Below are 26872 nucleotides of genomic sequence, written 5' to 3'. Positions count from 1 at the left end.
CTAGTGCCACTATTATTGCCACTGCCTCCTAACAGGACTCCAGGCCTACAAACTTGCCCATTGCCCTGCAATTTCATAATCTACATTATAGCTAGACTAGTATGTTTTAATGCAAACCTAACTATGGTACTCCCTTAACGTAAAATTATTCGAAGTCTTCACATCCTCTGGAGGACTCCTAGCCCCATACACAAGGCTCATCAGGAACTGGTTTCTGAGGGCATTTCCAGACTCACCCCTTGCCACTCCATAGCACACTACACTTCAAACCACTTGTAGTCTCCCCACACACCAGGAGGTTTCTGCCTCAGGATCTTTGTACGAGATGTTCACTCAGCTTGGCACATCCAAAACCTCTACCCCCTACCTCTACCCCAAACAAATCTTATGAACCCACTCCTATACACACAGGCAAACAGGCACACACACACACACACACAAACACGTGCACACACACAGATGCACACACGCACACACACATACACACACACGCATGAGCACATGCACACTCATACAGACATGTACATTCATGAGCATGCACGCATTTTCCTAATACCCTGTGCAAGCCCGTAGCATGGCATTTACCACAGCTGTTTGTAACTGAATTATCCATTTACTTTTCTAAGCTGCTATCTAGATGGAAAACAGTTTGAGGGCTAGGACTACATTTTATTCATCTTTGCATCTATCTGCAGGTACTTAGCAAAATACTGACTATATGTTTATGAAAGTAAAAAAGAAAGTAAGAAAAAGAGGTAGGAAGAGTTGGGGGGAAAAGGAGAGAGCTTTGTATCTCCAGGCCCAGGTGTAATACTTAAGCATGGAAAGTCTTCAATAAGTGTTTGTTGAATTAATAAATTTTTTTAAAAAAAGTATGATTACAGATGAGCCATGACTAGATTGCTGTGAAGAAAGCCTTTTAAAAGTATGAAAACAGTAAAAAAAAGAAACCCTTTTCGTCTATTTGATGAATCTATTTATACACCTAGTAGGAGCCTAGATCAGGGAACCAGATCAGCAAGCTGAAAAGTCCCAGAACTCAAAGGGGGCAATACATGCAAATGTCCAAAAGGGGGTGCCAGAGAGCAGCTCCCAACAGCAGTGTGCTGGGAGTTACCGAGAAGTGGCCTGGGTAATTCAGACACAACTTGCTCTTCTGTACCTGGCTATAGAGTGGTGAGTGTGAGAACCAGTGAAGCACAAGGATCAGAGAAAGGACAGACACAATACTCATCACTGCAGATGCAAACTGTACAGCATGTGAACTGTACAAGAGACAAGCGGGCATAGGTATGGAGAAAGAATGGGACCAGCGGGCCGGGCGCGGTGGCTCACGCCTGTAATCTCAGCACTTTGGGAGGCCAAGGCGGGCGGATCACGAGGTCAGGAGATCGAGAGCATCCTGGCCAACATGGTGAAACCCTGTCTCTACTAAAATACAAAAAAAATTAGCCGGGTGTGGTGGCGCGCGCCTGTAGTCCCAGCTACTCGGGAGCTTGAGGCAGGGGAATCGCTTGAGCCCTGGAGACCGAGGTTGCAGTGAGCTGAGATGACGCCACTGCACTCCAGCCCGAATCACATTTTTCTTTCTAATAAAGAGACTAATTCTCGCTAGCATGAGGTGGGCCACTTTTGAAGAACCACAGATGTAATAAATGAATAAATAACAGATGTCTGATCCCACCTTCGTGGTTCTGTCCACCATGTGTTTTGTTTGTCCATAATTTCCTATGTGTATTAGTTGTGAGCTGATAGAAATGTTTCCTCATTGGGCATGTTCTTCATACAGCTTGTTTTAAGCCATCAGACACAGCTCGAGATTGATGGAGAGCCTGAAAATGACAACCTCATGATTTAGTTTTACTTGAATATCAGTCTTCCAATATTAAATGTATTTTCTAACCCAAAGGGCATCCTTCCTTATTATTTCACACCACTCAGTTCTCAATAATTCATGGACTAATTGTGCAGCAATTACATTTCCTTCCTACAGGCAGAGCCACAAGATGTTAAAAAAAAAAAACAAAAAAAGGATACCTGAGAACTCAGGGGTTCCCCTAAGAACCTGAGTCATGCAGGGAGGAGCTACTTCAGGGGGCAGCTCAATCCCAGCCAGTGACACAGCTGGGTCCCCTCTGTGTGTCTCAGACCGCCATTGCTCTCTCCATTCCTGTAGCAAGCCTGACTCTGGTCTCTGTCTGGCTGTGTTGCTTTCTGGTATCTATTTATGCTTCTCTCTAAATCACAAATTCTTATGTCCTAAGCCCAGGAGCTCTCTGAGATCAGGACAGGCATAAACTACTAACAGTTTTAAGAAAAAAATGCAAAACAGAATTGATAACAATTATGGTATACCTTAGATGTAATTAATGGCTTTGGGAGAGGCATTAAAAATACAGGGCAGAGCCACTGCACTCTGTGACTCATGCCTGTAATCCCAGCACTTTGGGAGGCTGAGGCGGGTGGATCACTTGAGGTCAGGAGTTTGAGATCAACCTAACCAACATGGTGAAACCCCATCTTTACTAAAACTATAAAAATTAGCCAGGCATGGTGGTGAGTGCCTGTAATCTCAGCTACTCAGGAGGCTGAGGCAGAAGAATCACTTGAACCCAGGAGGTGGAGGTTGCAATGAGCCAAAATCATGCCACTGCACTCCAGCCTGGGCAACAGAGAAAGACTCCATTTAAATTAAAAAAAAAAAAAAAAAAAGGTGGGGGGGGAATATAATTCTGTTATTCCCAAGATAATTACAAGATTTATAGAAATAATTAAATTCTAGTACACTATAAAGGATGTGACCTAGAAACAAGATAAAAGTATTAAGTTATATGAAGAAGATCTTCCAGTTCTGCTGGGGGATCTCTGTGACTACAATTTGTATATAAAACCTCCTTTGAAAGTAATGTCACAGGTCTAAATATGAGCACTTTCAAGTGAAAAAGGCTCTATTCCCCTAACCCTGCCACAGGCTCTGTTACTCTGCCATGTGGTCATCCTTGCTCCTCTTTAGATTTATGATGATAACGATGGTCATCATCATCGACTGTAATTCTACCATGATTCTAATTCAAGCAATCAATTAGCTGGCTATGCCAAAGTGTTGAAGCCCTGCCCTTCCTGCATGCTGCACTCTGTACACTTCTATAGCTGTAAAGGTAGTAAAAGGAAGTAAATGAAAATGTGATAGGTTCAACATTATGAAGTTTGAAAGTCACCACTCTGTTCTAACAGCAGGTTAAAAAGCTGAACAAACTGAAAAACCAACAATACTTCATAGATCTTTAAGAGAAGTAAGATCAGGGCTGGGTGTGATGGCTCACGCCTGTAATCCCAACACTTTGGGAGGCCAAGGCAGGTGGATCACTTGAGTCCAGGAGTTTAAGACCACTTTGGCCAACATAGTGAAACCCCGTCTCTACTAGAAATACAAAAATTAGCCGGGGGTGGCGGTGCACCTCTCTAATCCCAGCTACTCTAGAACCTGAGGCATTAGAATCACTTGAACCCAGGAGGCGAAGGTTGCAGTGAGCTGAGATAGCGCCATTGCACTACAGCCTGGGTGACAGGGGGAGACTCTGCCTCCAAGAAATCAAACAAACAACAAAAGAAGTAAGATTATTGGGCAAGCAGCTGCCTCCGAAAGTGGGGAGAAACAGGTGGATACAGAGAATCACAACTTTCCAGGGCAAAAATTGCCACAGGAGCCAGCATTAAAGAAAGATAATCTGTACTGTAATAGACAAATTGCTGGAGCTAGACGTAGACAAGACTGTGTTAAAAATTCCAGGGGAACCAAGTCATAGGGGTGTGCCCACCCACTCTTTTGTGAGTTTTACCTCCAAGAGTTCAACTGATTTCTCATAGTAGTTATTAGAGACACACACACACACACAAAAACCTCTCATGTTTCTGATGGTAGGAGTGAGGGAGCAGGGGAGAAATGAAAAAGAGTAGAAAACAAAAATAAAAACAAAGAACAACGGTAACAAATAAAAAACAGTAACAAATATGGTAGGTATTAACTATATCAATAATCATTTTGACTGTCAATGGTTTAAATGCACCAACTAAGAAACAGAAATTGTCAGAGTGGATCAAAAAATTAGACTCAATTATATGCTGTCTAGCAAGAAACTCACTTTAAATATAAAGATAAATATAGATTAAAAGGAGATAGAGAAAGCTATACCATGCTAGCATTAATCAAAAGAAAGAGCAGCCATGTTAATTTGAAACAGAACATACTTCAAAGTGAGGAAAGTTATCAGGGATAAAGGGATAAGAGTTACATAATGATAAAGTGGTCAGTTCTCCAATAAGACAAAAATTCTTAATATGTATGCACCAAAAACAGAGCATCAAAATATGGGAGGCAAAAACTGATGGAACTGCAAGGATAAATAGATGAATCTATTATTGTAGTTGGAGACTTCAACATCCCTCTATCAGAAACGGACAGATCCAGCCAACAGAAAATCAGTAAAGACATATGGTAATCTTCCCTTATCTGTGAGAAATATGTTCCAAGACCACCAGTGGATGCCTGAAACCATGGATAAAAGTTACCAAATCCTATATATACTATGTTTTTTCCTATACACCCATATCTATGACAAAGTTTAATTTATAAATTAGGCACAGTACCCTTGTGCCTTGGGGCTGTTATCAAGTAAAATAAGGGTTACTTGAACATAAGCACTGTGAGATGGTGACAATCAATCCGGTAACTGAGAAGGCTACTGAGTGACTGACAAGTAGATAGTGTATACAGCATGGGTATGCTGAACAAAGGAACAATTCACATCCCAGGTGAGATGGAGTGGGATGGTGCAAGATTTCATCACACTACTGAAAACAGCATGCAATTTAAAATTTATGAGTTGTTTCTTTCTGGAGTTTTTTATTTAATACTTTTGGACTACAGTTGACCACAAATAACTGAAACCATGGAGATTAAAACTTCAGATAAGGGGGGACTACTGTAGTTGAACTCAACAACACTATCAATCAACCAGATATAATTGACATTTAAGGACTGTTTTATCCAACAACAGCAGAATACACATTCTTCTCAAGTTCACATGAAACATTCACCAAGATACATTACATTCTGAGACATAAAACACATTTTAATTTAAAAGAATAGAAATTATATAATGTCTGCTGTCAGATAACATTGGTATTAAACTAGAAATCAGTAAAAGAAAGAGAACTAGAAATCACAAAATACATGGAGATTAAACACTTCTAAATAACATATGAACCTAAGAAGAAATCTCAAAAGAAATTTTAAGGTATTTTGAACTAAATAAAATTGAAAATAAAACTTATCAAAATTCGTGTGATGAAGTGAAAGCAGTGCTTAAACAGAAATTTGTAGCATTGAATGACTATATTAGAAAAACATAAAAACCTAAAATGAGTCATCTAAGCTTCTACCTTAAGAAACTAGAAAATGAAGAGCAAAGTAAATCCAAAGTAAACACAAGATAAATAATAAAAATCTGAGCAGAAAACAAGGAAATTGACCATAGGAAATCAATAGAAATTTAATATAGAAATAGAAAATTAATAGAAAATTAAACCAAAAGCTAGATTTTTTGAAAATATCAGTAAAATTGATAAGCCTCTAGCCAGCCTAACTAAGGAAAAGAGGGATAACACAAACTACTGATATCAGAACTGAAAGAGAAGACATCACTACAAATCCCACAGATATTAAAAAGATAATCAAGAAATATTATGAATAATTCTATGCCCACAAATTTGATAGTCTAGAGGAAATGGGCCAATTCCTTGAAAGACGCAAACTGCCAAAACACACAAGAAGAAATAGACAATCTGAATAGGCCTATATCTATTAAAGAAATTGGATCAATATTTAATAATCTACCAAAACAAAAAACACGAAGCCCTGATAGATTCACTGGTAGATTCTACCAAATATTTGGGAAAGAAGGTATACCAAGTCTCTATAATCTATTTCAGAAGATAGAAGCTAAGAGAATACTTCCTAACTCATTCTATGAGGTCAGCATCATCCTAATACCAAAACCAGACAAAGACATTACAAGAAAAGAAAACTACAGACCAATATCTCTCATGAATATAGATTGGAAAATCCTCGGCAAAATATTAGCAAATCAAATAAAAAATGTTTAAAAAGAATTATACGCTACAACTAGTGAGATTTATCCTAAATATACAAGACTGGTTCAACATTCAAAAATCAAATATTGTAATCCATCGTATCAACAGGCTCAAAAAGAAAAATCTCATGATTATATTAATAGACACAGAAAAAGCATTTAACAAAATCCAATATTCATTTGTGATTTAAAAAAAACTCTCAGTAAACTAGAAATAACTAGAGAGAAACTTTCTCAACTGGATAAAGAATATCTACAAAAAGACTACAATGAACATCATACTTCATGCTGAGAACTAGAAGCTTTCCCACTAGTATGAGGAACAAGGCAAGGATGCTTCTCTCACCACTCTTTTCAACATTGTACTGAAAGTCCTAGCTAATGCAATAAGAGGGAGAGGAAATAAAAAGTCTACTGGTTGAGAAGAAAGAAATAAAACTAACTTTGTTCTCAGGTGACATGATTGTCTATGTGGAAAATCCAAAAGAATCGGCAAAAAAAAAAAAAAATTCTAGAACTAATAAGCAATTATAGCAAGGTTGCAGGACACAAAGTTAATATACAAAGTGAACCACTTTCCTATATATCAACAATGAACAAGTGGAATTTGAAATCAAACACAGGATACCATTTACATTATCACCTCTAGAAATAAAATACTTATGTGTAAATCTAACAAAATATGTGCAAGATCTATATGAGGAAAACTACAACACTTTATTGAAATAAATTAAATAACTAGATAAATGAAAAGGTGTTCCATGTTCATGAATAGAGGGAATCAATACTGTCAAGATGTCACTTCTTCCCAATTGGATCTGTAGTGATATTGTTTGGATGTTTGTCCCCTCCATATCTCATGTTGAAATGTGACTTCTCATGCTGGAGGTAGGGCCTAGTAGGAGGTATTAGATAATGGGGGCAGATTCCTCATGAAGGGTTTAGTGTCATCCCCTTGGTAATGAGCGACTTCGTGCTCTGAGTTCACATGAGATTTGTTTGTTGAAAAGAGTGTGGTACTTTCCCCCTCACTCTCTCACTCCTGCTCTCTTCATTCTTCATGTGATACTTCCCACTCACCCTTTTCCTTCCACCATGATTGAAAGCTTCCTGAGGCCTCACTCAAAGGAGATGCTGGAGCCATGCTTGTACAGCCTGCAGAACAGTGAGCCAAGTAAACCTCTTTTCTTTATAAATTGCCCAGCCTCAAGTATTTTTTTATGGCAATGCAAAACAGCCTAACACATGTAGATTCAATGCAATATCAATCTGAATCCCAGCAAATTATTTTATAGATATTGACACATTGATTCTAAAGTTTATATGGAGAGGCAAAAGATCAAGAATGGTCGACACAATATTGAAGGAGAAGAACAAAGCTGGAGGACTGATACTACTTGAAATCAGGCTTACTACAAAGCTACAGTAATCAAGACAGCAGGGTATTGGTGAAAGGACAGACAAATAATCAATGGAATGGAATAGAGAGCCCAGAAATAGACCCACATAAATACAGTAAACTGACCTTTGACAAAGGAGCAAAGGTAATATGATTTAAAAAAAGATGGTCATTTCAACAGATGGTGTTGGAACAAATGGACATCTACATGCAAAAAAATGAATCCAGACACAGACCTTACATCCTTCACAAAAATGAACTCAAAATGGATCACAGACATAAATTTAAAAAACAAAACTACAGAACTCCTAAAAGTGTAGGAGAAAATCTAGTTGACCTTGGGTTTTGTGATAACTTTTTACATAGTACAAATAAATAGACTCAGAGAAACTATTTGCAAAGTATATATTTAATAAAGATCTGTTATCCAAAATAGACACATAAAAAAACTCTTAAAACTCAACGACAAACAACCCAGTTTAAAAAAAAAATGAACCTAAAATTAACGATCTTAAATGACACCTCACTTAAAAAGACATACAGATAACAAATAAACTTATGAAAAGAAGCTCAACATTATATGTTGTTAGAGGACTGCAAATTAAAACAATGAGATACCACTGTTCATAGAATGGCTAAAATTTAAAAAAACTGAAAAAAAAGTATAGTTTCTTATGAAACAAAATATAGTCTCACCATACAAGCCAGGATTCATACCGCTGGGTATTTACCCAATTGAACTGAAAACTTATGTCCCCACAAAAACTTGCACAAGGATAGTAGCATTATTCATAATCATCAAAGACTGGAAGCAGCCACAATGTCCAATCATATAAACAAATTGTGGTACAGCCACGCAATGAAATATTGTTCAGCAATAAAAGGAAATGAGCTCTCAAGTCATAAAAAGACATGGAGTAAACTTAAATGCGTGTTACTAAGTGAGAAAAAACAATCTGAAAAGGCTACATGCAGTATGATTCCAACTATATGACATCCTGGAAAAGGCAAAACTATGGAGACTACAAAGATATCCGTGGTTACCAGGGGTTAGGATGGAGAGAGAGACAAATAGGCATAACACAGAGCATTTTTAGGGCAGTGGTAATCTAATCTGTATGATACTGTAATGGTGAATACAAGTCATTATGCATTTGTCCAAACCCATAGAGTATACAACACCAAGAGTGAACCTTAAGGTGAACTAAACACTTTGGACGATGATAATGTGTCAATGCGGGTTTATCAATTTTAAGAAATTACTGGTGGCAGATAATGATAATAGGGGAGCCTGTGCATGTGTCGGGGCAGGAGGTCAATGGGACATCTCTGTATTTTCCTCTCAATTTCACTGTAAACCTAAAACTGCTCAAAAGAAAAAGTCTTTTTAAAAATGAAAAATGTGACTCTCTTGGCTTTATTTGCTGCTCTAGGAAAGAGAAAAGGTGGGAATTGTTCCTATGAGTTTGCAGACTGCTTAAAGATTCAGCAAATGAGGCGTAGTTTAGGCCTTCTGTCCCAAGGCTGAGCAAGAGTACACATGCCATACTGCCACTTCTTATGCATCTTGCACATTCTAGTGGTTTTAAATTTGTGTGGATTTATGGGGTTCAGCATTTTCTCTCTTTATCCAAAGGACTACTTGTCACTTTATGTCTTTTTGATGATAAATCATCTTAGAGGACCTAGAGGGACACCACATGTCCAGTTCCCCTCTTCTACTCTCCAGCTCAGAGATGGCCAGCCTCACTCTCTGAGTGGTCCACATCTCCACTCTCACATTCAAGTTGCCTTACTTGAAGTTGTGCCCTATTAGGGAGGAAAAAGAGAATGGGTCTTGTATATCACATGATGAGTTGGCTCTGCTTGTCCTGGATTGCCACAGATGGGATACTAGCCTTAGGTTAAAAACAAAGATTAACCAGAGCCCTATTTATCACTCTCGAGTCCACTAACTACCAGACCCCCATAAAGACAGCAGTCATCAGCTAAATAAATGAACAATTAAGTTGAGAACAGATGTGTGAAAACAGCCACCCTCTCGATTTACTGACCCCTGGTAGACATTAGTTTGGTAATGGACTTTATCTGCAACAAGCAGCCTGCTTCACTGCTTAAAAGGGATGGCGTCTTTGATACTTTTAGTTGCAGTCTTACCCCCTGACTTCCCTTGAAGGGACCTGGGGCTAAGCAGGTGACTTTCACGATGAACGCTGCATTTCCCTCTTAACTCAGGTGCTCACAAAAGGGTGATAAACCATCTTGCCAGCCACACCTTTAGCTGCATTCAGCTGGAATTAAATTTGGGTGGCCATGGTTCCAGCCTGTTTTCACATATTGGTTATCCTCAAAATATTTGGAGATTTCCAAGGTGGCCCCCCTTTCTGTGATGGGCTTCATTAAGATACATTTTCATTAACACAGGGTAGTTCTTTCTACTGGAAGGTGCGCAGTAGAAATAAATGCTCAAGGCTCCTCCCAGTGTTTGGAGGTGTAGCGGTCACAAGATAATATTTTTAGAGATTTTTAAGGATATTTTGATGTTTAGCAACCGTTACAACTGCTGCTTACTCACAAAGTGAAAATCAAGAGTGTTTTTCTGTTTTGTTTTCTTTGCTTTTTATCATTCTAAATTCCATTTGTTATTCTGCATGCCCAGGTGTAAAATTCCTTTGGTGGAGCAGACCAAACCCAATTGAGTCTGTGAAATGGGCATCAGGGAAAGAAAGCAGAGAGGAGAGTGAAGGGAGCAAGCCAATTCAGTGACTCACATTCAGGCCAGGGATTAAAAGGGGCCATGCACTCCAATTCTAACCCAGGAGTGCTCAAGGGTTGGCCCATGTGTGAGCTGTTAACTGCTTTCAATCACAAGATAAAAGGAAAGAGGAGGAGGTGGAGGAGGCTCAGGGAGAGAAGAGAGGTGTTAGTCATTGCAGTGATTGTAGAGGTAGTTGTTATAATAGTTGGGTGGGGAGAGGTTGGAGTGGATTTATTATAAGAACCTAGGGCACACAGATCAGGGGACTAAAGGTCAGGAAAATACCCAGGCCTCTGAAAGAGACTGAAAATAGGACAGTAAACCAAAGGAACCCAGGGAGTGTGCTCTCTTCCAGCTTCCTCACTGCACGTCCTCTGGGTTCTGCCCTCAGAACCCATCCTGCAGACTGGCTTTCCAGATACTCAGTCCACCTGGCAGGAAATTACGACAGCACTATCCCAGCTCACTCGAGCTTCTCTTATTCTGAGAGTAGCCCAGGGTGAAGCCGAACATTTTTAACACCAATTCCAAATGTTTGAAAGAATCAGATTGGTCCTTCTTGAAACAGTAGTTTAATGAGATCTAATCAACTGGCTGGGAGCTACGGCATATAAACACAGTTACCAGAAGCCTGCGCCAACGGGCAAAGGAAAACAGTGAAGTGGTCATGTGAGCTGGGAAGAAACCCAAAGAAAGTCTCTTCTAGACTCCATCACTGTCCCTCCGCAGAATACAAAGGTTGGTCTCTGGGTATTACCAACCTGTGTTGCTGGATTTGTTTGTTTTTGTTGTCTTGGTTTGACTTGTGGTTTGAATCAATAATTTGCTTCAAAATGTAATAAGAGTTTATACTTATAGAAGTATATAAGTAGAGTTTATACTTAAAGAAGTATATAAGTAGAGTTTTTACTTATAGAAGAGTTTATACATTTGCTTCAAAATGTAATAAGAGTTTATACTTGTTCATGTCATTCGAAAAATTATACTCACTTTTCTTGGTAAGAAGAGTTTTGGGAGTGGGAAAGAAAAAATGAACATGGAATCAGATACGTTGAATCTAGATGTAAACTAAATGTTTTAAAAGAACTGTCCTTATACCATCCCCAGGGAAACAAACAAGTCAGTTACATTGTACTTTCTTCCATAAGAATAAGAAATATGCCCAGCCTGGTGCAGTGGCTCATGCCTATAATCCCAGCACTTTGGGAGGCCGAGGTGGGTGTATCATCTGAGGTCAAGAGTTCGAGACCAGCCTGACCGACACAGTGAAACCCTATCTCTACTAAACAATATAAAACTTAGCCAAGCATGGTGGTGGGTGCCTATAATCCCAGCTGCTGGGGAGGCTGAGGCAGAAGAATCACTTGAACCCAGGGGGCGGAGGTTGCAGTTAGCAGAGATTATTCCACTGCACTCCAGCCTGGGCGACAGAGCAAGACTCTGCGTCAAAAAAACAAAAACAAACAAACAAAAGACTCTGTTCCCAAATAATTGGGGAGACTGATTTGAGTAATAATAATGTCAAGCACGTCCGTGTGAAGAGACCACCAAACAGGCTTTGCGTGAGCAATAAAGCTGTTTATTCACTTGGGTGCAAGTGGGCTGAGTCCGAAAAGACAGTCAGCGAAGGGAGATGGGGAAGCGGTTGCTTTATAGGAGTTGGGTAGGTAATGGAAAATTACAATAAAAGGTAGTTATTTACTGTTAGCAGAGGAGAGGGTTGCAAGGTACATGGTGGAGAGATCATAAGACTTATTGTCCAGAAGAAGAATGTCACAAAGTCAAATGATCAACTAAGATAGGGCAGGGACAAGTCACGATAGTAAAATATTGTAATTTTACTCAGTTAAGGCAGGGACTGGCTGTTTTACTTCTTTGTAGTTTTTCTTTGGCTGCTCCAGACTTCTTGGCTCCTGCAGGCCATCTAGACGGATATGTGCAGGTCACAGGGGTTATAATGGCCGAGCTTCGGCTCAGAGGCCTGACAAAACTCTGACCTCTCGCAGGAAAAAAAAAAAAAAAAAAGAAAGAAAAAAGAAATATGTTTATAAGGGAATAGAATAGATTGTTTGGATTGTGCCTAAGAAAGTAAGGTTAGGTGTTTAAGGCTATATCGTAAATGATTTTTCACTATAAGGTTACCATGTTTCAAAGGCCCAAACTTCAAAATATTGTTTCCATCAAGTTACGTCCCTGCCCACTTTTTCTTTCCCAATTTTATGTGTGGCTTTGCCTGAAAAGAATCCCAGCACTCGCGTGAGAGGCTGACTGGCAGCTCAGTGCTGTGCATGCCCCATCCTCGCCTTTAGGACCTCATTCTAAATGCAGGAGAGAGCAACAGTGGCAGGAAATCATTACCATCCAGCAGCTCCCCGGGATTGGGGTCAAAGGCCACTCTGCAAGGAGTTGAGGGTATTAGAATCCATTCTGGGGATTTACCTTTCTTTGCAGTAGCTTCTGTTTCCTAATGCCTAAGAGATCTGAATAGCCTTTGTTTTGCACCGTTTCCCTCCAGGCTTAGCGCAGATATGAATGCTGATGTGGTATGTCACACTCTGGAGTTTTGTAAACAGAACACTGGCCAACCATTGTGTCATCTCTACCCTCTTCCCAAGGTGAGTGTGTAATCACTCTGAACATCTGTTTCCAGGGACATGCAAGGCTTTTGGAAATGTTAGAAAGGGAGGCTTAGCTTTTACTCGCTCAGTGTTTTGGGGACAGGGAGAGGCAAGATGACATTTTCAATTACCCCGCAAGAAATAATATTCCTGCATTTTGGCCTAGATCCATACTACCATGCTAGAAAGAATGTCTTTGCTGTTCAGCCATTGTGGACTGTAATTTTGAGCTGGCCTGCCAGTAGGTAGGAAATCTGATCAAAGAGACGCAGAGGTTTAAATCCCTATCACTTAAAAATCAAGCAAGTCACTCTCACAGAGTGAGCAACTCATGCCAGTTTGCCCAGGACTTTCCTGCCATGAGCACTGAAAGCCCCACATCTTGGGAAATCCTGGGCAGTTGGTCACCCTACGCTGAGCCTTATTGCTCTTACTCATAAAATGGGTTATGATAAACTACCTCCCACAGTGGTTTATTGTGGGAAGTCGGTGAGCTAATATGTAAAAAATGCTTAGCACAATAACTGATACAGTTTTTAAAGTGTTAAGAGAAATGACTGCTAAATGATCATTATTGATAACATTATTATTCAGTGATAGCTGTTCAGAGGACCCTGTGTGCATTATATCATTTTGTGTAGCTTTTAATTAGATTGCGGAGAGGAGGCTGCAAATGTTGACACAATTCCCTCCGCACACTCTGGATGAGAGGATAATATTGAATCCAGTTAGGCCACAGAATATTAATTTTCAGGAGCTGCCCGTGAAAAAAAATTCTTTGCCTTCTTTCTTGAATTGTAGTTTTTCTGGATATAACACAATAGGTTTCTATTTTAATTGTAATTTCCTTTTTATTCATGTTAAAATGAAGTTCATTTTAGTGCTTTGTGGCCTAACCAATGACCATGATTTTGCTGATGGACAGTATTAAATACATCAGCCTGTCTCCTTGAGCAGGAAGTAAGAGATGCAACTACCTGAGGAACGTGTATATTTCAAGCTTCCTCTGTCACTGACTAAGTGCGAATTAAATTTCCCCTAATTCCACCTGAGAAGCTGCAGGCTCCACTGGTACCTAGAAGAGTTAGTTAACTTTAATTAAAAAAAAAACTTTTCATGTGTTCAAATAGCGTGTGACTATTGTATCATAATATCATAATATTTTCTGTTTGATATTGCAAGGAAGAAATGGGTCTCTGTGTAGAAATGCAAGTGACACAGGTTTTGTGATTTCCTTAAATAATAATGTCATGTATACATTACACCCACAGCTACACATAGTCGCAAAAAGTTCAACTTTAAATTGTCCCATTTAAAATGGCATTCTTTATTTTTATACTCTCTAGAGTTTACTTCTGAAATTTCATGTCCTTGTCTTCCTACCCTGACCCCCTTCTCAATTCCTAACTCTGTAAAATTTCGACTGCCTCTGGCTGCAAGGGAATTGGAGGATTTCATGTGGGAACCGCCACCTTCTACCCCAGCTAGCATTCAGTGCTGCTGGGCAGCCTGTGACGATTCCCTGGACAGCCCCCTTCACTTTCCTCTGACGGCTGTTCTAGGCCTTCACCCTCTGCCTCGGGTCCCCCTCTCCAGCCTCTATCTCTGCAGATGACCCAGAAAAGAGGGACAATGGGTATACACATGGACAGCTTCACCCTCCTCTGCCTCTGAGCTTCCCCTGAATAGTAGTAACTGACATTGACTGGGCACTCACTTTGGGCCCAGTGCTGGTGTAGAGGCTCACACTTGATCTTGTTTTGTTCCCAAGCAGGCCTAGGTTGGAGGTGTCATTTCGACTCCTTTTTACAGTGGAGGAAACTGAGGGTTAGAGAAGTTATGTGACTTCCTGAAAGTCACTTCCCGAGGAAAGAACAGAACTGGGTTCACACCCCGGTTGTTCTACTCAGAGATTGGTTGAGCTCTAACGTGGTGTCAATGTTTCAGAAACTCCCCTGGGGTGTCTTCTTACAACAGTCAGCTGAAATCCTACCACCAGAAACAACTGATGTCGAAATGTGTGTTTCCTTTTAACTTTTCAAATAAATTATATTGTATTGAGAATTTATTTGAGAGTTATGATAATGCATATACAATTTTATACCCTACTTTGTTCCCTTAACATTACATTTTGAGCATCTAGTTTTCAGTGGTATATAGCAGACCTTTTTATCATTCTGCAAATCACTCCTACGTAGCACGTATGAATGCTCAGGTGGAATTACCTACCTGTTAGGGACAAACTGCCCCAAAAAAGCTTCTTGGTACTGCCAACACCCCCCACCAAACCTCTTTGTGCCACCCCTCCCCTTCCCCCAAGCCTTTTTACATTTCGAAGCCCTTATCTAGGTGCCGTGGTGAAGTCAGCAGACTTTACCTATCAGGCCTTGCAGCAATAAAGCAAACCCCAATTACAAACCATCCAGATGGCACAGGGGAAGGTCGCACAAAAAAAAGTCATAAAAAACGTAAACAAACTTTACTTACATCCTTCGGTACATAAACGTCACAAGGTGATATGTGGCAGAGTTAACCAACATACAACCCCAGGGTCTCTCTCCCCCATATAAACCCCTCATTTTGTAAGCTCAAGACTGCCTCCTCTGTCTGTAGTAGAGCAGCCGGCAAGTTAAATAAAGGCTTGCCTAAACTTGGGTCTCTCTCTCTCGTCCTTTCTCTCAGCTGACCTAACATTACCTACTAAGGGCGGGTGAAGACACAAATGCAGACGTAGATAATGTTCAGCCCTCCAGAAGGAATTCTCATGACTCTCCTAGTCAATAGTCCCCAGAGTAGCCACTATTCTGAAGTCTATCGCCACCGGCTAGTTCATTTTTAGGAAACTCTATCCTTGAATGTCGTATCAAAGGCCTCGCGCGGTATATGCTCCTTTGTGTCTGGCTTCTTCCACCTGTGAGTTTCATCCCGTGTTGGGTGAACAGCATCATTTCATGTAGAATTCCCCCAATCATCTTTTGATGTAGCTCCTGCACTACTGTCCCAGTGAGTCCAACCAAATCTGCTCTTTCCTTCTTTCTAATACATTTTTTTCCACATTGATGCCACAGATGCCTTGCTGTAGGAAAAATATGACCTTCCACCCCAGCCCAACCCTTTGCCTGGAAAGCAATTTCTCACTCTGTCCTTCCACTTGGTGGATTATTCCTCCCCATCGTTCATGGCTCAGCTTACATGTCACTTCTTCAGGGAGGCGGGCCCTATTAGATAGCCCTCTTATCATAGCTCCTGTATATTCCTTTCTTGAACTTGCCACTTTACAAGATATATTCCTGTGTGACTGCCTGCCTGTCTCTACCACTATCCTCTGAACTCCAGGAAGGCAAATTCTGTCTTGTTCACCACTCTATACCCAGTGTCTAGGACGGTGCCTCACACATACCAAGGAAATGTGTATTGACGCAATGAACGGGTAAAGTGCCACTAGCTTCTCATTTGCATCCCTGATGGAAATTCTGACTTTCCTCATGTGAAGGCCTCACTGATTTTCCCAGGGCATACTTATGATCCTGAACATAGTTTGGGATCTCCACGTTGCCTACACAACTAAGTACAAATTTTCACTTAGCTTTTCAGGACCTTCCAAAAGCCTTTCCAGACTTGCCTTTCCCTCTTAGGTTTGTGAATCCTGTGCTGCAGAGAGCAGCAAGTGACTGGCTCTGCCTTGAGCCATCCCCAACCCTCCCACCCTACACCTTGGATCTTCATCATTCCCTCTACCCAGATCACCTTTATCAACTCCATGCCATCCCTCAAGCTCATGTCAATGGTCACCTTCTCTGTAAAGTAATTCCTAACTATCCCAACAAAATGTTAACTCTCCTTTGAATAATCATTGTAAAATAACTGTTTGAGCACTTATAATGTGCTAACATTGTTCTAAATGCTTTATGTGTATTCATGCATTTAATCTTATGGAATAGGTATTGTTGTCCACCCTTTATAGATGACGAAGGTGTGGCAGAGAGACATCAAGATACTAGTTTCTAGTTTCGTAGATTTCCTCACTAAGATGCAAGCACATGGGGGTGGGCAGGCCTGTACCTTGCCTGTCTGTCTTTGTTCTCTCCACCATGCCAGGCACATACTTACTTGGTATATGGATAAAAATGAAAATAGCAGAAGTTGGTATTTATTGATGGCCTGCCAGCCGCTGCACTTAACGTGCGTGATCTCATTTAACTGTGCTGTTAGGTCCATATTTATTTTACAGTTGAGGAATTTTGAGACTTGGAGAAGTTAAGGGATTTTCCCAGGCTATACAGCTAGTGAGGAATACAAGAGGATTTATCTAGGGTCTGTTTTTCTTAAAAGTCCAAATTCTCATTCACCGTGCTCTCTGCCTCACTGAGACTCCGTAGGTGTTGTCACATTGAATGGAACCACTGCTCCTGGGCCAGCTAATTCCTCATAAGCAGGACTCTGCACGCTCTATGTCTGGCTTTTCACACATTTCAGACTCTAGTACAATATAAATAATGTGACGCAAGCAGTCTCCCCTGTGATATACATGCTGCAGGGATGGAGAGGATGGATGGGCCCCTCTGTAGCAGGGAGCTCATAGCGCAGAAGCAAGCAGAGCAGAGCAACAGAGATCTGGCTTCAGTGAGGCCAAAAGTTAAAGGTGGAACTGCATTTGGGGCTCACAGTGAACCCCTATTCATCATCTACAGCCCACCTGAAATTCCAGGCCCACTTCTTGCCGGTCCTGTGGACGTGTCTCCCTACCACTATCTACTGTGTGCTCAAAAAGGACAAACTTCATCCATAACTAATTAAAGCAAGAAAAATCTACGATGTCCCACTGGTACAAGAAGAAGAAGAAAAAGGAGAGAGGAGAAAAGGAGGAAGAGAAGAGGGACAGGAAGGAAAGGGAAGGAAAAATAGCTGCAGGCCTCACTGCAAAGACCACCCAGGTGGTTTTGTGTTACGTATCTTGGGAGTTTATTTTTACCGCTCCTCTCATTTGCACATGAAACAGCGCATTGATTGCTGCTGCTGTGTGTGTGTGTGTGTACGCACACACGCACAGGGATGCATGCACGTGACTGGCTCTCCCTTGAGCCCTCCCCAACCCTCCCACCATGTCCAAAACCATGATTCTAACACCACAGCTCACAAATTGAAAACCGAATGCAACTTATTCGTGTGTATCCAGTGGTTCTTTAAAGCTCTATTTTTTGGATCAGAATGTTACATTGCATGAGCCCCTGCTTGAGCCAGAAGCATCCTGGAGCCTCCTTAGCTTTAAGCCACTCCCGTTTGGGTCCCTGAACTTGAGATCTCCAGGCAGACCTCGTAGCTTTGAACTGACTCCTTTCCTAACCACAGCAGTGCTGGAGGAACATGCTGCATTTACCAACATCTCCAAGGCACACTCAAGACTTACTTCAGCCACTTTGATCTACATTAAAAGAGAATCATATTCAGAATGTAAGCCCTGTGTGGAGAGAGGTTCTCCTTATTTCCCTGGGGCCTCCTGAACTGCTGGGTGGCAGGGAGACCTGCTGCCTTAGGAAAGCAACCCAGACTTTGAAACAGCTTTTCCCACAGTGAGTTGCATTTCTACAAGAACCAAAAGCTCTCTGATGCTGAGTGTGGGGGAGGGTGTGTATGCACAGGGAATCATATTTCCCTGGAATCCAAACTACCAGGAAAGTGACATAAATGGGTTTGGCAAGAAGTAAATTTTCACTCTTTATATGAGAAAGTGACGCATGACAAATTATGTTTCGCCTAAGCAATAAACAAGCTGACCTCAGGAATTCACTTTTATTTTTTAAACACTAGGTGTCAAATAAAATACCTGGCATCTCTTTTAGTAGACTGTCTCAGGTGGTAGTGTTTAGAAAAAGAATCACAGATAGACAGGAAATTGGACACTTCCTGAGATTCTGTAATCACTAAATTTCATTCTGCACAATCCAAAGAACCTGATGCTCATAATGCTGTTTTTAGCCCTATGAGCTCACAGCACACTGTCACATGTGTTATTGTCTAGTCTCCCCCAAACTCTGTTATTTCAAATAAACGTTTTTTGGTAATAATTTCAGATTTATAAAAAGTTGTGAGGATACTGCAAGAGAGTATACTGTTCACCCAAGTTTAATTCCCCACAATGTGAACACATTACTATTACTTAGTCAAAACTAAAGAAGTCAGTATTACTACTGTATATACCTTAGTAGCAAATCAAGTCCAGACTTTATTTGGATTACACATGCTTCTCCTCTAATGTCCTCTTCTGTTCCAGGATCTAGTCGAGGACACGCATTGCATTTCTTTTTCATGTCTCTTTAGTGTCCTCTGGTCTGTGACAGAGTCTTCATCTTTCCTTGTTTTTCATGACCTTGGCAGTTTTCAAGGATACAGGTTAAGTACGTCGGTAAAATGTTCCTCGAATTGGGATTTGTTTGATGTCTTCATCTTGGTTCGACAGTGTTAGGGGTTTTTGGAAAGAACACCACAGAGGTGAAGCACCCTTTTCATCACATCCTATCAGGGTTAAATGATGCCACATGGCATTGCTGGTGAGATCACCCTTCATCACTCGGTGAAAGGGTCATTTGCCAGGTTTCCCAACTGCAAAGTCACTATTTTCCCCCTTTTCCTTTACTCAGTTCTTTAGAAGTGAGTCTTTAAGTCCAGCCTGCACTCAGTGAGGCCAGGGAGGACCAAGCCCCTGCTCCCAGAACATGGAATATCTACACATATCTTTTGAAATTCTTCTATGTAAAAAACATCTCTCTCCTCCCTAATTTATTGAATTAGCCAATCATTTATTTATATTAGCACAGATTCATGTATACGTATTTTATACTTTGAGTTATAATTCAAATATACACTATTTTATTGCACAAATTTTTCCAGTTTTCCAGTTTTGCTACCATTGGAAGCTTAGGGTGGCTCCTGTGTCCTTTTGACATGCCTCTGTCCTATTTTTTTTTTGTTCCATACTACTTTATGTTCTGGTACTACCAGATGATCCAGGCTCATCTTGTTATCTTATATTCTTCTGCCCCTGTCCTTGAATCAGCATGTCCCGAAGGAGACCTGGTTCCTTTTACTGGAAAATGGTATTTGGAAACCAAGATCTGGGTGCTAGGTATGCCCATTGCTACTGGGATGTCATTGCTTATTGGCCTTCTTAGGTCCTGGTCTTCTTTGTGGAGTGCTAAGTAAAGTATATGTGTATACAACCCATGTATACACAAATACCTACAATTGTTACTGTGTCTGTATGTGTGTCTCTGTGTGTGTGTATGTGGATGTGAGCTCATACTGATATCTCTAATTTTAACCCAGTATCACAGGTCAAACTCTATTTTATAGGTAAAATTATCAAACATATTTTGCAGTTGAGGCTTAAAGCCTTTACTCAAAGCTCATAAGTAGTGAGTGGAATCTGAACTCAACCCAGGGCCCTGGACTTTAGACCTCCAGCTCTTCACATCAGCACTGCCTGTGTTTAGCATAGATTCTGGAGCACATTCAGAATAGTCACTTCTCAGAGCCAGAGGGAATTAAAGGCAGCTTTAGTTTTAGTTTTCATAAAATATCATAAACAGCTTAATTTTCAAGAATCTTGCACAATATCCCAACTTTCTCAGTAACAATGAAACCACTGACATGTTCGCTTACTTAGTCATACCTCAACAAACATTTCTTGAACACTTACCATGTACCATCCCCACAGCCGGGTACCCTAATAAGTTATCTTTTTTTAACTATCCCAAGTCTGTAGGACAAATATGATTCTGTCATTTTATAAATAAGTCTACTGATACCTAGAGAACTGAGAGACTTTCCTGAAGTCCCATACTTTCTACAGAATAATTGTTTTTCTTTTTATCAGCCAACAAATATTTATGTAGAATAAATTAAGTAGAACAGTATTCCAGCACATATGGCATGCGATAGCAATGTAAATGGATATTCTAGCAGGAGGCTATAGACAAACAGTGAGGAAGAGAGAAGTGCTGTCACACAGGGTGCAAGGAGGAACAGAAACCCCAGCAGACGAGGGCTGAGCTGGTCCTGGAGGGAACAGGAGTGGAGGTGACTCCTTCAGGGTAGAGTAGAGTTCACCCAGCACACTCCACCTCGCCTGCGTCAGCCCCTTGTGCTGGGCCCTTTCCCTAGAACTCCCAGTTCCCTGCATGGCCAGCGCCTTGTTCCCCTGCTGGTTTAAGTACCCCCTCTCCAGGAAGACCCTCCCTGACCAACCTCTCTGAAGAAGGTCCCCTTTCCTGCTCTCTCACACCACTTTATTTCTTTGATACCGTCTGAACACAAGGACCGTGTCTTTCTTGCTCACCATCTTATTCCTGGACTGGCATAGTACCTGGCACATAGTAGGTGCTCTGTAAGATTTGTTTAGTAAAAAATAGGATGAGAACGGCAGTCCTGAACATACCTTACCTTCTCCCTTGTGAGGATGTATCTGGTCTCAGTGGACTATATGAGAGTTCAAAGCATTCGGCTTCTTTGAGAATGTGAAGCAGTTTTCAGAAATAAACATAGGGTTCATCCCAGGGCGCCTGCTCTGGTATTCCTGGGTAGGGTTTGAGCATCTGCATTTGCATAACGCTTTTGACGAGCACTGAAGGGTGAGAACTGTTGTGCTGGAGGCTGGCCTAAGCCTGAAAGCTGTCATTGACAAGTCTGAAAGCACTGTCCCTTCTCTTGCTTCTCACCTCCCACACATCCAAAACCATGCATCCCCACTTGCCCTCTAACTGCATCCTTTTCCCCAACCATTCCTTGATTTCTACCCCTTTTCTGATTGATTTATCAACTTAACCTCAGCTATTGGGTTTCCAGTCCCCAGCCCCCTAGGAATAAGGCCTCTTAGAAAGACAGAGAGAACTAGAAGTTTTAGACCCAAACTATTTGGAATTCATTCTTTTTCTACGGATTTTCTCAAAACAGTGTTCTTGTTACCAAGGGGTCCTTGCTCCCAGAGCTCCCAAGACGGTGGTGGGCCACTTCCAAGACGGTGGTGGGCCGCTTCCAAGACGGTGGTGGGCCGCTTCCAAGATGGCAGAAGCCACTTCCAAGATGGTGGCAAGCCTCATGTTCTCTGACCTGGGGTTCTTGGCCTCACGGATTCCAAGGAATGGAATCTTGGGCCATGCAGTGAGTGTTATAGCTCTATTAGAAACCATGGGTCACAGAAGAGAACCGTGGAACCCAGTGACTAGTGTTCAGCTCGATTAGGATGAATCCAGGCATTTAGCCATGCAGGAACAATGGTGAGTCTTTAGCCCAATGGAGAGCGGCAATGGGCGCCTCACTGGATCAGGAGCACAGCGGACACCCTGCCAGATCTGAAGAGATGGAAGTTAGCGGTAGGTCTGCCACGGCGGCAAACAGCAGTGGTGGACAGCAAGTGAAAGCTCAGCTCAAGTCGTAACAAACACAGACCAGAAGAGAGTGCAATTGCAAGATTTAATAGAGTGAAAACAGAGCTCCCAAACAATGGGAGGGGACCCAAAGAGGGTATCCATTGCCGGCTAGAATGCCTGGGTTTACATCCCGATCATTATCCCTCCTGCTGTGCTCTCAGGCGATAGATGATTGGCTATTTCTTTACCTCCTGTTTTTGCCTAGTTAGCATTTTAGTAAGCTCTCTTTCCTACCTGATTGGTCGGGTGTGAGCTAAGTTGCAAGCGCCATGTTTAAAAGCGGATGCAGTCACCTTCCCAGCTAGGCTTAGGGATTCTTAGTTGGCCTAGGAAATCCAGCTAGTCCTGTCTCTCATGCTGACTAATTACAAAGGTGCAATGAAGTTATCTACACCCAAAGAAGAAAATGAGAAGGCCTAGTAACCCGCTCAAGTCTCTCCCATTCTAATAAAATAAATATAGAAACAAACCTCACAGAACACTCATTCCCCTCCAGCTTTCCAGAGCAATCAAATTTCTGTCCTACCTGTGAGAGGCAATTCAACACGATGTCGAAGAGCACAGATCCTGGTGCCAGCCCACCTGAACTTGAAGCTCAAAGCTTTACTAAGCTTCTATTGTATACGTACACATTAGGGGCTATAGAATAAAAGGCAACGACAACTGATTTGAAATTGGACTAAGTGCTTAGCATATACACAGCATCTAAAATCCTCCCACACAATTATAAAGTTATTCCATTATCTTAACTTTACAGAGAAAAAATCAAAATTCAAATTGTTGGTTGTAACGTTGTATAATTGACAATGTTTTTAAAAGTTCCCCTTTAAACATCTGAGGAAATTATGAACAATGAGATAAATGACAAGGCCTTCTAGACACAGAAAGTCAGCTTAAAATGGAGCAAAATATATCCCAATGCATTTGAGATTCTTGTTTTTGATTAAAATAGCATTTCAAATCAGTGGTAAAACACTGGATTACTCAATAAATACAGTGGACTAAAGACTAGACATTTGAAAAAAATTTAAGCTAGATGTTTATCTATACCTTATAGCAAAATAAATCCCAAATGATTAAAGACTGAATCACTTAAAAAAAAAAAAAAGGAACCATAAAAAACCTGAGCAATTGTATTTGTAATTTGTGATTGAAAAGTCACAAAGGGAAATACTAATACATCTGACTAGTAAAAACTTGCCCCCTTCACAAAGTCAAAAGACAAATGGCATACTGGGTAAATGTTTTGTAATATGCCACACAATGAATTATTTTCTGTTTGAATCAAAGAGCTCCTAAAAAAATCAAAAAGAAAAAAAAAGTCAGCAAAGGCCACAAACAAATGGTTTAGGGAAAAATATCAAAGGACTGAAAATTTAGGAGAAAATGCTCATCCTTTCTTATAATTTAAAAAGTGAAAAATTAAAATGAGATTTTATCCACCTCCTATGTATTTGGACTTCACAAAGTTCTGATGGTGATTAGGCAAGAAATTATCACAGAAACAGAAAAGGCTTTCAGTATCAGAGACTACAAAATTAAGTTGCTCTCTGCATATTTGAAGGCTTAAAACTCTAAGAGGGCCGGGCGTAATCCCAGCACTTGGGAGGTTGAGGCAGGAGGATCACCTGTAATCCCAGCACTTTGGGAGGTCGAGGCGGGAGGATCACCTGAGGTCAGGAGTTCGAGACCAGCCTGGCCAACATGGTGAAACCCCCATCTCTACTAAAAGTACAAAAATTAGCCCGGCATGATGGCGTGAACCTGTAGTCCCAGCTGCTCGGGAGGCTGAGACAGGAGAATAGTTTGAACCCAGGAGGCGGAGGTTGCTGTGAGCCAAGATAACGCCACTGCACTCCAGCCTGGGTGACAGAGCGATACTCCACCAAAAAAAAAAAAAGAACTCTAAGGGAACTGAAGATGGCATTGGAATGCTATGTCTGGATTTATGCTCTATTGTTCCATCTTTTCTCCAAGCATTTCACATGATCTTGCCAGAGATTCAAAGCTGTATTTTTGTTAACACCCATATTTGGAATCTTGTATAATTTGTCTACTTAAACTTGTATTAAGACTGATTTGGGGGCTATTAAACTCATAGAGGTGTTAAAACTCTTCAAAGAACAGCAAAAATAATGCAAATGTTAAGTTACTATTGACTTCCGATAAGTGGAAGAAATCAAATTATTCCAAGGAAGGTATTTCTATGATATTTGAGATATGAACATTTTTCTTGTCTGCTTTTGAGAAATTCAGAAAACAACAACTATCTCTCTTGAGAACATGCTTATTAATTCCCTCAGCTCAAGAATCGCTAATGACGCTAATGACTGGGAATGGTTCTAAAAGATCCTTTGAGTTTTAAGGCTTTAATCACTGCTCTCCCAGCATCCACTCTTGGCCCTCATCTTCACTTAATTAATCACCCCCATTAGAGCTCAGCTCAAAGTCATTCCCTCTAAGAAGTTTTCCCTGATGCCCCAAGTTAAGCCAGTTCTTCCATGATTCATCTCCGTTCTTCACACTCCATTTTTCCAGCACTTATTACAATTGTAATTCGATAATTGTAAAATTAATATTTAATGTCTGCATCTTCTGTTAGGGTGTAACCTCCATGAAAGCAGAGACAGTCTGGCTGTTTTATTCCTCAAACATAGTGCTAGTCCCTGAAATTTCCTCAGAGCTGAACATAGTTCACTACATGCATTAATTACTCAACAACTATTTGTTGAATGAGAAATATGATAGACAGAATAATCTCCCTCCACCCTCCAAGTTCATATCCAAGTCCCTCGTAACTGTGTCTGTTACCTTGGACAGCAAAAGGAATTTTGAGGGTGTAATGTAGTTAAGGATTTTAGATGGGGAGATTGTCCTGGATTATCTGGGTAAGCCTGATGTGATCACAAGAATCCTTACAAGAGGCAAGCATTAGGATCAGAGCGAGAGAAAAAAAATGTGACAACAGAGGCAGTGTTCAGAGCCATGAGGCCATCACCACTAAAAACTAGAAGAGGCAAGGAATGGGTTCTCCCTGGGAACCTACAAAAGGAACCAACCCTGCAGACACCTTGATTTTAGCCCTGAATTTCTGACTTCCAGAACTGTGAAAGAATATTCGTGTTGTTTTCAGCCACTACGTTTACGGTCATTAGTTACAGCAGCAATAGGAAACTAATACAAATAATTGATTTGTTGTGTAACATAGAGTAAGACTGATCACACAACCTGAAAGCAAATAGAAAAAAAGTAAAAGACTATGTAACAAAAGACCCTTATGACTGAACCATACCCACCATCTGATTAACCCAAAATTTGCCAGAAATTATTTGTGTAAAGAATAAGACAACATACTATAAATAAGAATAGACCACAGAGCCTAGTACTGGAGAGCTTGTTTATGAGCCCAGATACTAGGGAAGAAACAGTCAAAATGGAACAATGGTATTAGTTGTGAAGCCTAGAAAAATTCACTCAGCACCGGGTCTTGGATTTCTCATTTACAAAGTAGAGTTAAGAACTGTTATTTCCTATTTTGCAAAGTTAGTACAAAATTTAGAGATAAACTCTATACGATGTTTGGTATAGAACTTGAAGCATAGAAGAACCTCTATGGTGTGAACTTTAAGAACTCTATAGCAGAGTGGTATGTGATGGTGGTGGTAAAATCAATGAATAATAATGTCAGGAAAAGGAGTTGGTGGGAATAATGCTGTTTAAAATAACGCTTTTTTTAAGAAAGGTATTGCCTGGAGAATAGGAAGCGATAGCAAGAGTGTGATTAAATACTCTGATGATACTAATAGCTATACAATGCAAAATTAGCCTAGAAGCAGGAAAGAAGAAAATTTAGCTAAGGGTAAAATATGTATGAAGAAGAGGCATTCAGTGATAAAAGGGGATGCATTTAAAAGTAATGGCTTTTTTCTTTTACTTTTACCCTTTTTTTTTTCATCCCTGGAAGAAGAAAATGAAGTGAACAGACTTCATTTTTTGCATATAATTTAAAGTCATAAATGCCCATTGGAGCTGGAAAGTGTCAGAACCTAAAAACCAAATTAGGCTTTGATAGAGCTACATCTTGAGTATTGGAAAATTGCCACTGTAGGATACAGCAGAATGCAGATTTAATAACAGACCTGCAAATTTCACTCAAAGGCTAGACATGCCACTATTTGATAAAAACCCGTAAGCAGTAAAACTTCTTGCCTTTGTCTTCCTACTGAATAGAAATTGCCTTGAAGCCCTTTTCTGTACCTCTCTGTTGGCTCTTTCTGATCTGCCTGTCTTAGTTAGGGCTGCTCTAACAAAGTACCCTAGACTGTGTGCCTTACAAACCACAGAAATGTATTTTCACAGTTCTGGAGGTTGGAAGTCCAATATCACGGTGCCAACAGGGTCAGGTTCTGGCGAGGGACCTCTTCTTGGCTGCAGACCGCTTTGTTCTCATGTGGAGAAAAGAGAGCTGGCTCTCTCTAGCCTCTTCTCATAAGGGCACTCCTCCCATTGTGAGGGCTCCA

The 26872-nt window shown here is 40.7% G+C and overlaps 1 protein-coding gene across 14 annotated transcripts in view, besides 2 other annotated features; it reads left to right on the top strand.

Moving 5' to 3' along the window:
* Positions 1-26872, top strand: part of AOAH (acyloxyacyl hydrolase) — a 211554-nt gene that overhangs the window by 52405 nt on the left and 132277 nt on the right. For all 14 annotated transcript variants that reach the window (NM_001177507.2, XM_011515334.3, XM_017012102.3 and 11 more), the window contains one exon: positions 12825-12924. In NM_001177507.2, coding sequence (NP_001170978.1) covers positions 12825-12924 — 100 coding nt within the window. The remainder of the gene's footprint in view (positions 1-12824; positions 12925-26872) is intronic.
* Positions 10100-10642: an enhancer, noted in NCBI's record as "OCT4-NANOG-H3K27ac hESC enhancer chr7:36701053-36701595 (GRCh37/hg19 assembly coordinates)". NCBI's record gives its function as "activates a minimal SCP1, AML or CMV promoter by ChIP-STARR-seq in naive H9 embryonic stem cells {active_cell/tissue: H9 hESC(naive)}" and the evidence as "EXISTENCE:reporter gene assay evidence [ECO:0000049][PMID:30033119]".
* Positions 17646-18190: an enhancer, noted in NCBI's record as "OCT4-NANOG hESC enhancer chr7:36693505-36694049 (GRCh37/hg19 assembly coordinates)". NCBI's record gives its function as "activates a minimal SCP1, AML or CMV promoter by ChIP-STARR-seq in primed H9 embryonic stem cells {active_cell/tissue: H9 hESC(primed)}" and the evidence as "EXISTENCE:reporter gene assay evidence [ECO:0000049][PMID:30033119]".

This window comes from Homo sapiens, chromosome 7 (assembly GCF_000001405.40).
Source record: "Homo sapiens chromosome 7, GRCh38.p14 Primary Assembly".
In the NCBI taxonomy this organism is placed as follows: domain Eukaryota; kingdom Metazoa; phylum Chordata; class Mammalia; order Primates; family Hominidae; genus Homo; species Homo sapiens.
Note: the sequence above shows the minus strand (reverse complement) of the source record. Positions and strands in the feature narration are given on the sequence as shown.